The 14,005-nt window shown below is 42.9% G+C and overlaps 2 annotated features.

The window, feature by feature from the left end:
- Window positions 1,075-1,574: an enhancer, noted in NCBI's record as "H3K4me1 hESC enhancer chr2:7249837-7250336 (GRCh37/hg19 assembly coordinates)". NCBI's record gives its function as "activates a minimal SCP1, AML or CMV promoter by ChIP-STARR-seq in naive H9 embryonic stem cells {active_cell/tissue: H9 hESC(naive)}" and the evidence as "EXISTENCE:reporter gene assay evidence [ECO:0000049][PMID:30033119]".
- Window positions 13,645-13,774: an enhancer, noted in NCBI's record as "active region_15248". NCBI's record gives its function as "activates an Ori minimal core promoter by ATAC-STARR-seq in GM12878 lymphoblastoid cells {active_cell/tissue: GM12878}" and the evidence as "EXISTENCE:reporter gene assay evidence [ECO:0000049][PMID:35858748]".

Genomic DNA, 14,005 nt, shown 5'->3' with positions numbered 1-14,005 from the left:
TCCAGATGAGATTTGGTTGGGGACACCGAGCCAAACCATATCAGATATAAAGTAGGGATACACAATATGTCACATACTGTCTTTCCCCTCAAGATATCTAAAGGACAGAAATTAATTTTCCATTAAAAAAAAAAAAAAAGCCAGGCATGGTGGCTCATGCCTGTAATCCCAGCACTTTGGGAGGCCGAGGCGGGCAGATCACGAGGTCAGGAGATTGACACCATCCTGGCCAACATGGTGAAACCCCATCCCTACTAAAAATACACAAAATTAGCTGGGTGGGGTGGCACGTGCCTGTAATCCCAGCTACTAGGGAGGGCAAGGTAGGAGAATCGCTTGAACCCAGGAGGCGGAGGTTGCAGTGAGCCGAGATCACACCACTGCACTCCAGCCTGGGCAATAGAGCGAGACTCCCTCTCAAAGCAAAACAAACAAGCAAAAAAAAAAAAAAAAAAAAAAAAAACGTTTTAGACACTAAAACATTAGAGCTCAGAAGAGGAAAAAATCACTTTAAGCTCATCAGAAAAGGCCTCCTGGAGACAGGAGCATTTAATCTGTGTGATAATGAATTGGCAATTTTGATCGTATTCCAACATTCCCATTGTGAAATGCCTCATCCTTTCCCCATGCCCTTCCTTACTGGCTGGCCTGGCGACCTCCTTTGTATTCCACAAGGCCCCCTACCGATATTATTCTAAGACCCTAGCACTATTGCATACAGTTCTGTTTCCTCTCTGAGCTCTGAACCCCTTCAGGGTTTGGGATTTCTCTAAACCAAAGACTAAAGAGAGTGCTTGGCACTTATTTGTATCTATAAAAATTATGCACCATGAAAGGAAATGGCAATGTCTGATCTGGCTCTTTAGTTAAGCTCCTATCAAGGTCTCTGTGCTGTTGAACTGGACCATCGGAATTCCAGAGGGGAGTAAAGCCATTTTCACAAAGAGGTGTTTCCACATGGTTCAGTGGGGCCTGCTGTGTGCTGGGCCTGACTTCGGACTTAGTAGTGGCTGCACAGACTCGCGGACCATTTCCAGGCCTCTGGGTGGCCAAGCTGGGCCAGTAAAACGCAGTGCAATCAATGGCTAATGCAATAGCTGTTTGTGATCAGTCATTTCAAAGAATGTTTCTGAAATTAAAATCCAAAGTAAATGAAAATGAAGGTGTTTTTCCTCTTAATTCAAGACCAACCTTTCTCAAGGGACTCCTAAATCCTCTGGAAGCTGGGAGCCGGAATGCCAATCTTAAGATATATCCTGGGGGATTCAATCCGCTCTTAGATGAAAAAGGCAGGTCTTCAAGACTGAAAGTCCCAGCCACAGGGGCTCACATCATAGGCCCGAGAATCGTAACCCAGGATGGAAGAGTTGAGATTGTCTTTGGGAGCATTTTTCCTGATGTTGGGGAAGAGGAGAGTTTATTTTTCCACTCCCATTCACACCAGCTGCCACGGAGCAGCAAAAAAGCCCCTCCAGTGCAGCACTGCGGCCATAGACCACTGAGCCGGCCCCAGCTGCAGATGGACGCAGCAGCTGGTCCAGAGAGGTGCTGCGGCTGACTCCCCCCAACACACACACACACACATGCACACAAATGCACACACACACAGGCTTGGGGCTCAGGGAAGCAGCTCACTGCCTCCTTCGCCTCCCTCCCCAGATTTATGAAGCAGGAAGCAGCCAGCCAGAAAAGCAAAACAGAAGGGACCCAACTGCTCCTGTGTTTATTTTTCTTAAAGCCAACATACACCTAACTATTCCTTAGCTACTAAACAATATAACTACCTGCCACCTACCGCCCTGTCGGGAAGCTGACTCTCCTGAACCTGTCACCTGGACACAAAGGATAGTGCTATGTGCAATGCCATCATGAACATCCAGTCCTCAGAGGGCCCCGCCACCGTGGTCTGTGTGAAAGCAGGGCTGGGAGGTGGCAGTGGCATGTGTGGGTGCCTGCTCTGAGCCAGCCTCCTCACGGGAACTTCCACGTTTAATCCTCAAGTGCTGTCTGGGAGCCGGAGGGGAAGGAGGGTTGAGCATTCTGCTCCGACAGACACAGCCTTGGTGTGCCCCTCAGCAGGGGTACGGGGCTGTTTTAAGAGATAGCTGTGATCCCCCAGACCTTCCTTATAGCTTTCTAGGTGAATCATTTAATCACTGGTGTTTCCACTCTCATTAACTGATACTCGGATGTTCTTTGTGGTCTCACATGATATCCTGTATAGAGCTCAAAAACTCAAATTGGACCTCAAATGAAACACCAGTTTCTCATTTTACATGTGAGAAAATTAAGGCCTTGAGAGTCCAACCACACAGCTTGCCCAAGCTCACACAATTACTTTGACAGAGAGCAGAAAGTAGAACTCAACCTTTTCATAAACACCCGTAGTCTTTATGCAAATTTTTCTCTTGAAGGCAACCCAGTAGCACCACCTCTACTTCAAAAGAAAATTAATGATGTGTCGAATATGTAGCGTAAGTTCTCAAGTTCCGCAATGTGGTCCTATGAGCCAAAAGTGAAGATTTTTAAAACTTTTCTAGGTCAGCTATTCATGGATGGAATAAAGATGCATTGATCACAGTAAATATACAGACTCTAATTTTTTTAAGTATAAAGGAATTTTACAGAACCTGAGACTTTAAAATTACTGTATAAATATCTGGATTTGGGAGAATAAAAATGGAGTGTTAGGGGGAAACAAGGATTATTGGCGTATTTCAGGGTGGGGGAGACTTGATGACCGCCAACGCATCAGTTACCTGGGTGGAGTCTAACCAGACAAGAGGAAGGCCCCACCCACATGCCAGAACAGAGCTTTAGGCCGCTCTTCTGCATCCCAGCTCTCTTTGTGTGGCTCATTCCACTAATGCTGTTTTAGGGGCCTGGACTTAGTTCCTTACATGATTCTTCCTCTCTTTTCAAATAAGGAGGCTGAAGTGAAGTGTAGTTGCCAGAGTTCCACTGTCACAGATGGAAGGGGAGGTCTCTCCCGCTAAAGCAAAACTGTGCAAAAGGCTGATATCCCAGAAGGGAAAAATAACTAATCAACCCACATTTTCTTATCCATGAAATAAATGTATAAATGTATGATAACATCTACTACACAGAATCATGGACTTTTATAGGAATGCACAAGTACAGAGCACTAGGCCAGAGGTATGGATTTTCACACAGAATGGGTCTGAAACACATCTCAGGACCAAAGAACACAGCCAGTCATCTACTATTCAGGTAGAAAGAGCTGAGCTGTCAGGTGAGTGGTTGGACTCATTGCCTGCATCATGGCCTGCAGCAGGGGTTCTGTGTCCATCTGATGGGGTTAAGATGGACAGCGATTTTTACTTAGGTCAGTTTGCGATAAAATGGGTTTCCCTCAATGACACGGGATTGGAGTCATCCATTTACTTGGTCCTCTCACTCACTGGATTACAACTTTCTTAACTAGAGGTTAGCTAGCTCATCCTCATGTCTCACTGCATCCAGCACAAGTTGCAGCATGGAGTATGCCCTTGCCAATGGCAGTTGAATAAATGGATGTTTGACATTGTACATGTTATGTCCTCTCTATCTCTCAAGTTTAAGGAATTTTTTATTGTTAGGTGTTAAAGATCTCAAAGTAATCCTCTATGGCCAAACCAAGCTTTTGAAAGATAAGCACCTTGGCTGCTTCAGAATGGAGTAAACTTGGCTTCTCCACTGTGGCACACTGTTGTTTGTTCTAAGAACTGGAACTCTGGCTCTTGAAAGTCACTGCATGTTGATATGATCAGGAGATGAAAAGACAATCCTGTTGTCAAGGTCTGAGCCCAAAGTTTCCGACCTATTCTCTGGGGCATGGCGTTGTCCTTGATATGCTTAGAAGCTCCTAGACTCTAATGCACAGTCTAGATTAAGGACCAATGGACAAGAGAGCGACATGGTCCTCATTTGAAGAATAGGCTACCTCACCCAATCCATTTGCTTCTGGACACACTGACAGCAATAAATTGAACTTCCTGCTTATGACATAACACTGTTGTAGAAAGAATGTGGCTGTTACCAGTCATGGAGATATAAATTGAATTTTTGATTAGGTGCTCAAAAATATTTTTTAAACTCATCAAAGGAAGGATGGCTTCCAGCCATCATGTGTCCCTCAGCACACTCTGCACATAGTAGGAGAACATGAATGGTTTATAGAATTAAAATGAAACAAGATCAAAGAATCATGACTTCTGAAATTTTTCTCCTAGACTTCCTGTAAAATCTCTGACATTCACCTGTACATGGAGTAAGCCACGTTCACAGCCAACAGCTGCAGCATCTCTAGGACAACCTCGCAGGTGTTGCATAGATCATTTTATTTTAAAGTCATATTCTACAGCCTGGTAGTTTGTGGTTGCTGGTGGTGGTTGCAATTTGGCTACAAGACTCCTTCTAATGCCTGGCTCGTGCAAAGTCAGGGTCCACCATTCTGAGAGGATCAGGCAAGCAACCATGAAAGTTCACTGTTTTTCTCAGCATCCTAGGGCAGGCTGTCTATTCTATTGGCAAAAGGAAGATCAGAGCAACCATAAACCGTCACTAGACTAACTCCACTGTGAATGCTTTTACGTGTCCAAATGGGACATTCCACAATGATGGAAGTAAGTACATTCCCCACATCCCTACCCACATCAACAATGATAATAATCTTGCGTAGACAGGACTAGTATAAAGATAGGGCAAGCCAAGGGATCTCAGCTGGATGCTCTGCCGCCTCCAGGGTGCTTTAGGGCTTCTTTGGGGGATGCCCACACTTTGCTTACAGGGTCATTTATTCTCCCACTAGCCTCAGACACCAGCTTTATATGCAGAGAGGAGCACCTGTTTTTAAAGGCAAATGACTTTGTGATCATTAACCAATATCTAATAAAGTAAAACCTTTAAACAGGCTGAAGAGAACAGATGTTTCCATCGCTTAATGAAAAAGAATTATGCACCATCATACAACAGAAGCTGACCCCGCTCAGTCACATGCATTACAAAACAGCCCCTCATCCTCACTAGGTGTTTGGATAAGTTCCATGAGAACCATTGCTGCTTGCCCTATGTCAAATCAGGTGCACGCACAAATAAATATCACACATTCGCAGACACACATCTGCTTCTGTGTGTGCAAACACATTCACACAGCACCGGGCTGCCCGTGGGCAACGTTTGAACAAACACAGCTACCGTAAGTGACCTTCGGAAAGGAAGTAACCCATTGCTCACCTCCAAAAGCCTAGATCAATATAGGACACTCAGGCCCAGTGACGGAGTAAAAGAACCCACGTTATGAAAGTAATCACATCTAGGTTCCACCTCTTAGGAGCTGCACGAACCTGGCCACATCTTTTATCTTGAGAGTCCATTTCCTCATCTGTAATATCTAAGTGAGGTGGTTTTAATGATTAAATATACCTAAAAAATGCAATTTGCAGATTGCTGTGATGGCAAATTACTGTTTTTTGTTTGTTTGTTTGTTTGTTTGTTTTGAGACACAGTTTCACTCTGTCATCCAGGCTGGAATGCAGTGGCATGACCTTGGCTCATTGCAACCTCTGCCTCCCGGGTTCAAGCAATTCTCATACTTCAGCCTCCCGAGTAGCTGGGATTACAGGTGCGTGCCACCACACCTGGCAAATTTTTGTATTATTAGTAGAAACAGGGTTTTGCCATGTTGCCCAGGCTGGTCTCAAACTCCTGACCTCAAGTGGTCCACTTGCCTTGGCCTCCCAGAGCATGGGGATTACAGGTACAAATTACTATTTTTTAAAGCAAGTAAGCCCTAATAAAATTTTTAAAAGACCAAGAATTTTGTCCCCTTTTGTGACCCCCTACTTCCTCTGATCCCATTGCCTCTGGTCTCCCTGCACTGAGGACCTCTCATGAATCAGAACCCCAGTTCCTGATTAATCACCTGGAGATGTCCCTTCCTGGCCTTGAGAGCTCCTGCCCAGGGGTGGAGGTGCACACAGTCTGAAGCCATGTCAGAGCCTCTTATTGTCTTTTCATATGGTGTTGTGGACAGCTCAGTTGCTCCAAACTGGACACGGCTTCCAGCAGGGTCCTCCTCCCACCACACAGGCAGCTCCTCTAGTGGGTCTTGGCTCCTTCCCCCACTCAGATTTGTGTGTCTGTATTAGTCCATTCTCTCACTGCTGTAAATAACTGAGACTTGGTAATTATAAAGGAAAGAAGTTTAATTGACTCACAGTTCTGCATGGCTGGAGAGGCCTCAGGAAACTTACAATCATGGTGGAAGGCTAAGCAGAAGCAGGCACCTTCTTCACAAGGCAGCAGGAAAGAGAAGTGCTGAGCGAAGAGGGAAGAACCCCTTATAAAACCATCAGATCTTGTAAGAACTCACTCACTATCATGAAAACAGCAAAGGGGAAATCCGCCTTCCTGATCCAATCAGCTTCCTCCCTCAACACATGGGGATGACAATTCAAGATGATATTTGGATGGGGACACAGAGCCACACCATATCAGTGGCCTTCTGGCCTCAGTCCACACTGCTCATGAGGCAGTTCATTTTCCAGGAACCCCTGCCCCACCCCAGCACAGTGCTTGAGCTCTCAATGGAAACCAGGGTTAGATATATACACCTGAGATCAGGCAATTTCTCTAGGCTGCTTCCTCATCTGCCACTTCAGACAACTCCCTTCAGCTCACCTTGCTTCCCTGCCCACTGGGTCCCAGTCCTTCCAACTACTGACAGCTTAAAACAATCCACCTGACTGTCTAAGCTGGCTTCTCTGAAATGTGCTGACTTGGTCCCTTCGCTTGACTGGACACATTGTAGCTGGGAGCAAGTGTCACCCTTACTGGACCCCTGCTCCAGATAAAGAGCTTCCAAGGCCCAGCAATGCACGGAAGCCAGCTAAACAACTTACTCTTAGATAATATTACATATTATGGGGCTGTGTTCTGTTCATGTGTGTTCATGTACCTGCACACATTTGAGTGTTTGAATGAAATTAAGGCAGCCCAACTCTCTCCTAATTACTCCTCCAAAATTCTACTATTCCAGTTGGTTGTTGTCAGCATCATACACACCCTCTTTTGTTCTAATGCTCAATCCTGTGTTTTGTTTCTTATGACGGAACATCTAAGGGAATGTGGTAATATTTCTAAAACACCCAAAATGTGCCAAGAGCTTGGTCAGGTTCTTTTCAAACCTGGTATTCTGCACTGGTAATAAACACTAACATTGCTTGAACGCTTACTATGCACATTCAGTTTCAAACATTTTTACATGCACGATATTACTTAACACCACACAAACACCAGAAAATGGAAGCTTGGACAGGGCCTGTTTTGGTCAAAGCACCCAAGTCAGCCACCAGGACTGAAGTCACACCAGGACTGAAAGGCCCTAGCTTGTCTATAACATCACTTCTGGCCCCTAGTTGGCTAAAGAAGGGCACACAGGTAATTTTTGTCCCACAATTTGGATGGCCCAGGAGACCTTTTAAGTGCATATTTTCCTGGGAAGTAGCTAGCTTGACAGTGACTTCCGAAGCTCCAGAGCTAACGAAAACCACAAGCAATCCCTCCTTGCAAAGTAAGTTATGTGCTGTGTGCAGTCCCACTCTCCTGGAATCCTGGGCAGAAGCCATCTTCTTGGCCTCACTTGAGAGATAACAAATCTTGGAACCTAACCTAGATTATTGTATCTATGGACACATATTTTTAGCTAAGATATAACACTGGAAATTTGAAATGCAATATTCTATAAAGGAGTGGCGCTAACATTTTGGCCTCTCCGTACCTACTTTCCCCTCCAGGAACAGCATCCAGGAACCAATTCAGCTCCAAAACTTCCAGCCCCGCATAGTTGTCTCTCTGCAGAAATGGCATCTGATCTTAGACTAGAGGCAGAAATTGAGGCACTAAATTCTCTCTCTTTTCATCCCTTTGTCTCTCTCTGACACACACACACACACACACACTCACTCATGCATACACACTCACACACACACATTCACAAGGCCAGGCCCATTATGAAATAAAGAGAGAAGAAACCAAGACTTTATAATCCTTGAAGCCCTCTCTGGGACCCAAATGATCTACTGAACTTGAAAAAAAATAAAAGCAGCTTCCAGGGCCCTCGGCATCTCTGCAGAGCATCTGCAAACATAACATCATTTGAATCTTATGGCAATTCTGCGAGGGAACTCCTAGAGCAGTGAGGCTCTCATCTGTCAGACGAGGAAGCATGCGCAGAGAGGGTGCCAGAGTGGCTCCCTCTAGCAAAACTAGGATGACAGCCTAACCTTCCAGCCCCATGATCTTGTCTACTCAAGTACTCATAGATCAAAGTAAGACACTAACAGTGTTTGCAGTGGTAATGTAAATATAGAAACAACAGCAGGAGAAGCCTTCTTAGAAGGCATGTCAACAATAGAAATAGAAGCAAAAGAGCAAAAGTAGAATTACTGCAGAACAATAACAGAAGCAGAAATAGAAATAGGAATAAAAATAGCGTAAGAACTAGCAGCAGCATGAGGGGCAGAAACAATTAAAATAATGTGAGCGACAGTCGGAGCAGTGTGGGTAGAAGTATTTACATGCATAACTCCCAAAGAGATAGAGAAACCATTAGGAAAGTGTGCTTCACACTACCCCTTCATGAACATAGCCATTATGTTGGCTAACAGAGAATGAGTGTAAGAATAATGACAACAATTAAAAACAGTGCATTTTATTAGCATCTACTATGGACCTGGTGTTTTACAAGCATTATTCTTAAACTTCATCTTGATTCTACAACATAAGAATCATTATCCCAGCCGGGCGCGGTGGCTCATGCCTGTAATCCCAGCACTTTGGAAGGTCGAGGCAGGCAGGTCACTTGAGGTCAGGAGTTTGAGACGAGCCTGGCCAACATGATGAAACCCTGTCTCTACTAAAAATATAAAAATTAGCAGGGCGTGGTGGTGCGCACCTGTAATCCCAACTACTCAGGAGGCTGAGAGAGGAGACTCCCTTGAACCTGGGAGGCAGAGGTTGTAGGGAGTTGAGATTGCACCATTGCCCTCCAGTCTGGATGACAAGAGTGAAACTCACTCTAAAAAAAAAAAAAAAAAAAAAAAAGGATCATTATCCCATTTTCCAGATAAGTACATGGAAGCTCAGCTAATGCAATAACTCCTGGAAGCCAACTCTTCACAGGTGGGAGAGCCAGGGTTTCCATTAAGCCAGACCACACCTAAGCTTTACGCTCCAAATACCTTGAATGAACATTTACAGACAAAAATTAAAGATAGCATACGGATAAATAGAAAAACACCAGTGGTGGAATAATAATTTACCACTCTGGTTTCATAAAAAATAGAAATAGACAAAAAAATATGTCTCAATATAGAAGACGTAAGTTACATAATTACTAGGGTGAATATAATTAACGTATGTCTAATTCTTCATCATGAAAACAGAAAATGTACATATTCAGGTGTTCATGCCACAATTTAAAAAACTGACCTTTTATTAGGCCATAAGAAAAACCTCACTAAATAACCAAAGAGTAGCAATGCTATCTACAGTACTTTGAAAAATTTTCAAAAACAAAATTAGCAAGTAAAATTAATTTGAAAAGATTTTCATGAGGAAATTTAAGGCTCTTCCATTAACACCACTTTGGTCAAAGAGTAAATCAAAGTCTCAATACTTACATGCAAAACATTAAGTGATTAGCAAGTATAAATGGCAATAGGTTTTTTTATTCAACTCAATAAATTAGAAAGCTAAAAAAATAAAATTAAGGAAAGCAGAACAAAATAATTAACAAAGATAAAGGCAGAAATTAATTGATAAGGAACAAAAAACTGTAGGACTAAATAAATCCAAGGGTTGCTTTTAGAATATTATATAACAGCAATAGCAAAAATGATGAACTATTAAGATTATCTAACAATAAAGAAGTAACCACTGAAGTAAGGGGAAAGGAAAAGAAAGATCAAATCATAAATTTTCCAGAATTTAAAGATCTGGAAAAGATAAAACTGTACATTACCCAAACTGACCCTATTAAAGAGAAAATATTCCAAATAGACCAGTTAATATGGAACAGATGAAGCTCTCAGAGAACTAACATTCCTCCTGACAAAAGAGCACCAAGCCCTGTATGTTTAACAGATTTCTAACAAATCTTTGAGAAACAGATTACTTGAATATTAAATGTTTCTGTGAACAGGAGACATAAAAGGAGGAGGAGGAGGAGACAGGAGGAAGAGGGAGAAGGGAGAAGGGGAGGAAAAGTTCCAAATGCTTTTGTAAAGCTAGCAACACATAAAACTGAAACCCAATGAAGAGGCAAGAAGAAGAAATCTGTGGGTCACCTGCACTTTTAAATAATTATATTAAATTTCTTGATATATATTAGCAAATACAATCCAATCCCATCCAAAGACAACCACCATAGGCAGGTGGAGTTCCTCCCAGAAATGCAAGGTGATTTGATATTAGAAAACCTACCAATACAATTTACCATTTGAGTGGACACAAAGGTAAATCTGTGTAATCCTTCTGTAAGAGCAGGAAAACTCTTTGATAAAATCACAGATCTATTCTTGATTTAAAACTCTTACTGCAATAGAGATGGACAAGAGTGTACATTTTTTTTTCTATTCACAAACTTTTAATTTTAGACCTTTCTTAGACTGGAAAAAAAGATCTCCCAGAGGAAAATCTCACCTACTTGCTGGGCAGTGCAGGCAATAGTGACAGTCAGCCACCATGCTGCTCTTCATCCAAGGTATACATGTGACATGGTGCTTAGATTTGCAGCTTTCACAAATATATTAACCTTTTGTTTAATAAGGCATAAGCAGGTGAAAGATTTGAAATTGTTAATAGGAAAATGGTTATAATTATTATGGAGATGAAAGAAGAGGTAACTTAAAATGAAATTGGGAGAAAATAGGCAACATTTTGCATGCAGATAGGATAAATCTCTCAAAATCATCAGGCATGATTCTGGAGGACAAAGAATGAATAACCCATATGTGAAAAATACATAAGCAATGGATAATAATCAGGCAGAGATGAAGAAAAGTTAGTAGTCCCATTTTTAAATGTACTAGCCTGCTGTGATTTCAGAAGAAAGCTAGGAATGTTTCCAGAATTCAAAGGCCACAGATGATTTCATGGGCCTAGTACCCTTTTAAGTTCAGTATGACTGAGGTATAAAGTGGGCAAGAATTCACCTACTGTATTAGTCCGATTTCACGCTACTATAAAGAAATACCCCAAACTGCGTAATTTATAAACAAAGGAGGTTTAATTGACTCACAGTTCTGCATGGCTGGGGAGGCCTCAGGAAACTTACAGTCATGGTGGAAGGCAAAGGGGAAGCAAGAACGTTTCTCACATGGTGGCAGGAGAGAGAAGAGTGAGTGAAGGAGGAACTTGCCAAACACTTATAAACAATCAGATCCCCTGAGAACTCACTCACTATCATGAGAACAGCATAGGGGAAACCACCCCCATGATCCAATCACCTCCCACCAGGTTCCTCCCTCAGCACCTGGGGATTACAATTCAAGAGGAGATTTGGGTGGGGACAAAAAGCCTAACCATATCACCTATATGGTAGCTAGTAAAAACCTCACAGCAATGCTCATCGAGGAAATAGATTTTCAAGGTAAGTAAAATGGTCCTATATGGAAAATAAAGCCCAAGGGCATATATTTTATGTATATTCTTTTTAAAGCTTTAAAATGAAATCATCTTCCTATTTGGTGGAAATATATCTAGGGAATACAAACTTAATAAATAAATGGGCTTACATTTTATCAAACCGCAGGGCTCTATATTAGCAACTTTAGAGAAGAAAGTAAGTCTTGTTCAGCTCTGACTCTCTTACCCTGTTTCTTGCCCAGTGCTTCACATAGCAGCAGGTTACAGAAGAGTTCTGTGAACCGTCCGAAGAATTAAGTCACCCACTTATTAACAGCTGCATCTACAGAGCTCTCTATGGTTGCAGAATACTTTTTCCATCGCTATCTCCATCTGGCCTACAGGAGAGCCTTGTGAGAGGGCATAGAAAGGTGACAGTCCTGCTTTAATAATAAGAAACGTGGACAAAGGCATGAAGTGAATCACCCAAGACCACCCGGCTGGTTAATGGCACAGACCCAGAAGCAAAACCTAAGGTCTTCTCACTTTTTCCTTCCAATTTCCAGTTGACTACAAGACTGCACACTGCCCCTTGATCCCAACCTAGTGGCTGGGCCAAGCCCCTCAGCGTGAGAATGGTCTGGAATCACTCATGTTGCTGGGCCAGAAATTTTTTACTTGTGATAAGACTTTGCTTTGCAGTGCAAAAGTCTCACCCTTAAGATAAATAACCAAATATCTCTGACACCTTTTACTGAATAGCATCTGGCATTTGATAAGTGCCAGATTAAGTGTCTTTGCTGAAGTGTATGCGACCTGTACATGTAACAAAATTGCACCTGTACTCCACAGATGTAAATTTTTAAGAAATTAATGGAAAAAATAAAAAATGAGTTCTCTCAACACAAAGAAATGATAAATGTTGGAGACGATGGATAAGCTAATTAACCTTGTCTGATCCCTACACATTATATGTATTGAAACATCACTATGTATCCTGTGAATATTTACAATTATTTATCCATTAAAAAATAAAATTAGAATAAAAAGAGAAACAAAACAAAGACTAAAAAATAGAGGTCTTCTTGTTATCCAAGTGTGGATTGGCGATCAGGTTAGATATTAAGACAGTATACTAATCATAAGAAATACTAAGCCCAACTTTGTTTTTCAATTAATGGCATCCTTAATGAATTTGTGTTATTATCCATATTTTATGGGTGTGGAGCACATAACTTGAGCAAGAAACTCCACCTGAACCTACAGGTCAGCGAGGTAGAAGTTGCCCAAGGTCTCATAGGCATTAAATGTCAAAGGCAATGAGAACAGAAATCCTAGCTCAAATAGCCCATCCAAGGATTAAATGGTATAAATTACTAAAAACACTTTTCTAGGAGAAATTTCGATACTTGCTTTATTTTTCTCTTATTCTCATCATCCTGGAGGATAGGGCAAAGATAAAAACGTTCCTGGTGAGGCCCTTGAGAATCAGTGTGGCTGAGTGGCACGCCTGGGCTGCATGCAGATGACTGGCAGAACAGGGGCCAGAACCACCTGCTAGGAGGATGTGCCTTTGGGGGCTCCTTCTCTTTCTACTATGAAGAAAGGAGTCTATAAGGAGAAATTGTCTGAGTTAAAGCAAATCTCCTGTCCTTAAGAACAAATGCAGACTCTTGAGTCCTGCATTTAAGGACTCCCAAGATGAAGGCTGAAGCTGATGTGATGGGGGCCTCTTGAATCGGGTGAGTCCATCTGGGATGTAGGAAGAAATAGACCAGAGTGCATGGGATGGGGAGCTAGGGGGTGCTTCTCCACACCCCAGGGCAGCCTGTGGCCCCTCCCACTGGCTGTGATGCCTGCTGGGCCCAGGGCAGGACAAGTGGCTCCAGAGCTCTGGTGGAGGACGGTGGGGCACATAAGGCCAGCTGGGCTGGCTGTAGCCACGTGGTCTTTCTGAAACTGCACACCTGCTTTCTCTGTCTAAGCTGCCCTGTCTAATTCTGGTTAATCTCACGGTGGAGAGAGGGAGGGAGAAAATCACAAGTTGAAGAAGGCTGAGTAGGCATAGGGTGGAAGAGCTCAAGGCAGACACAAAAATCCATCACTCACACGCAAAACAAAAAGACCCAAACCAAAACAAACAACAAACAAAATGGTAACAAAAGACAGCAAAGCACGCGCACCTAGAAACTGGTTAAACGCGGTGCTCGCGCGCCACCTGCTGACCGAATCGTGGCGCTGCATGCTGGCCGTCCCTTCCTGCCCCTTAGCCTCGGCGTCCTGCGCACTTCAGCATCCCCAACCAATCTGGCGGCACTCAGGATCCTCCAAGTCCAATCCAGTTGCCAGAAAGTCTTTCTAAATCATAGAAATTTAA

Source organism: Homo sapiens, chromosome 2 (genome assembly GCF_000001405.40).
Source record: "Homo sapiens chromosome 2, GRCh38.p14 Primary Assembly".
In the NCBI taxonomy this organism is placed as follows: Eukaryota; Metazoa; Chordata; class Mammalia; order Primates; family Hominidae; genus Homo; species Homo sapiens.
Note: the sequence above shows the minus strand (reverse complement) of the source record. Positions and strands in the feature narration are given on the sequence as shown.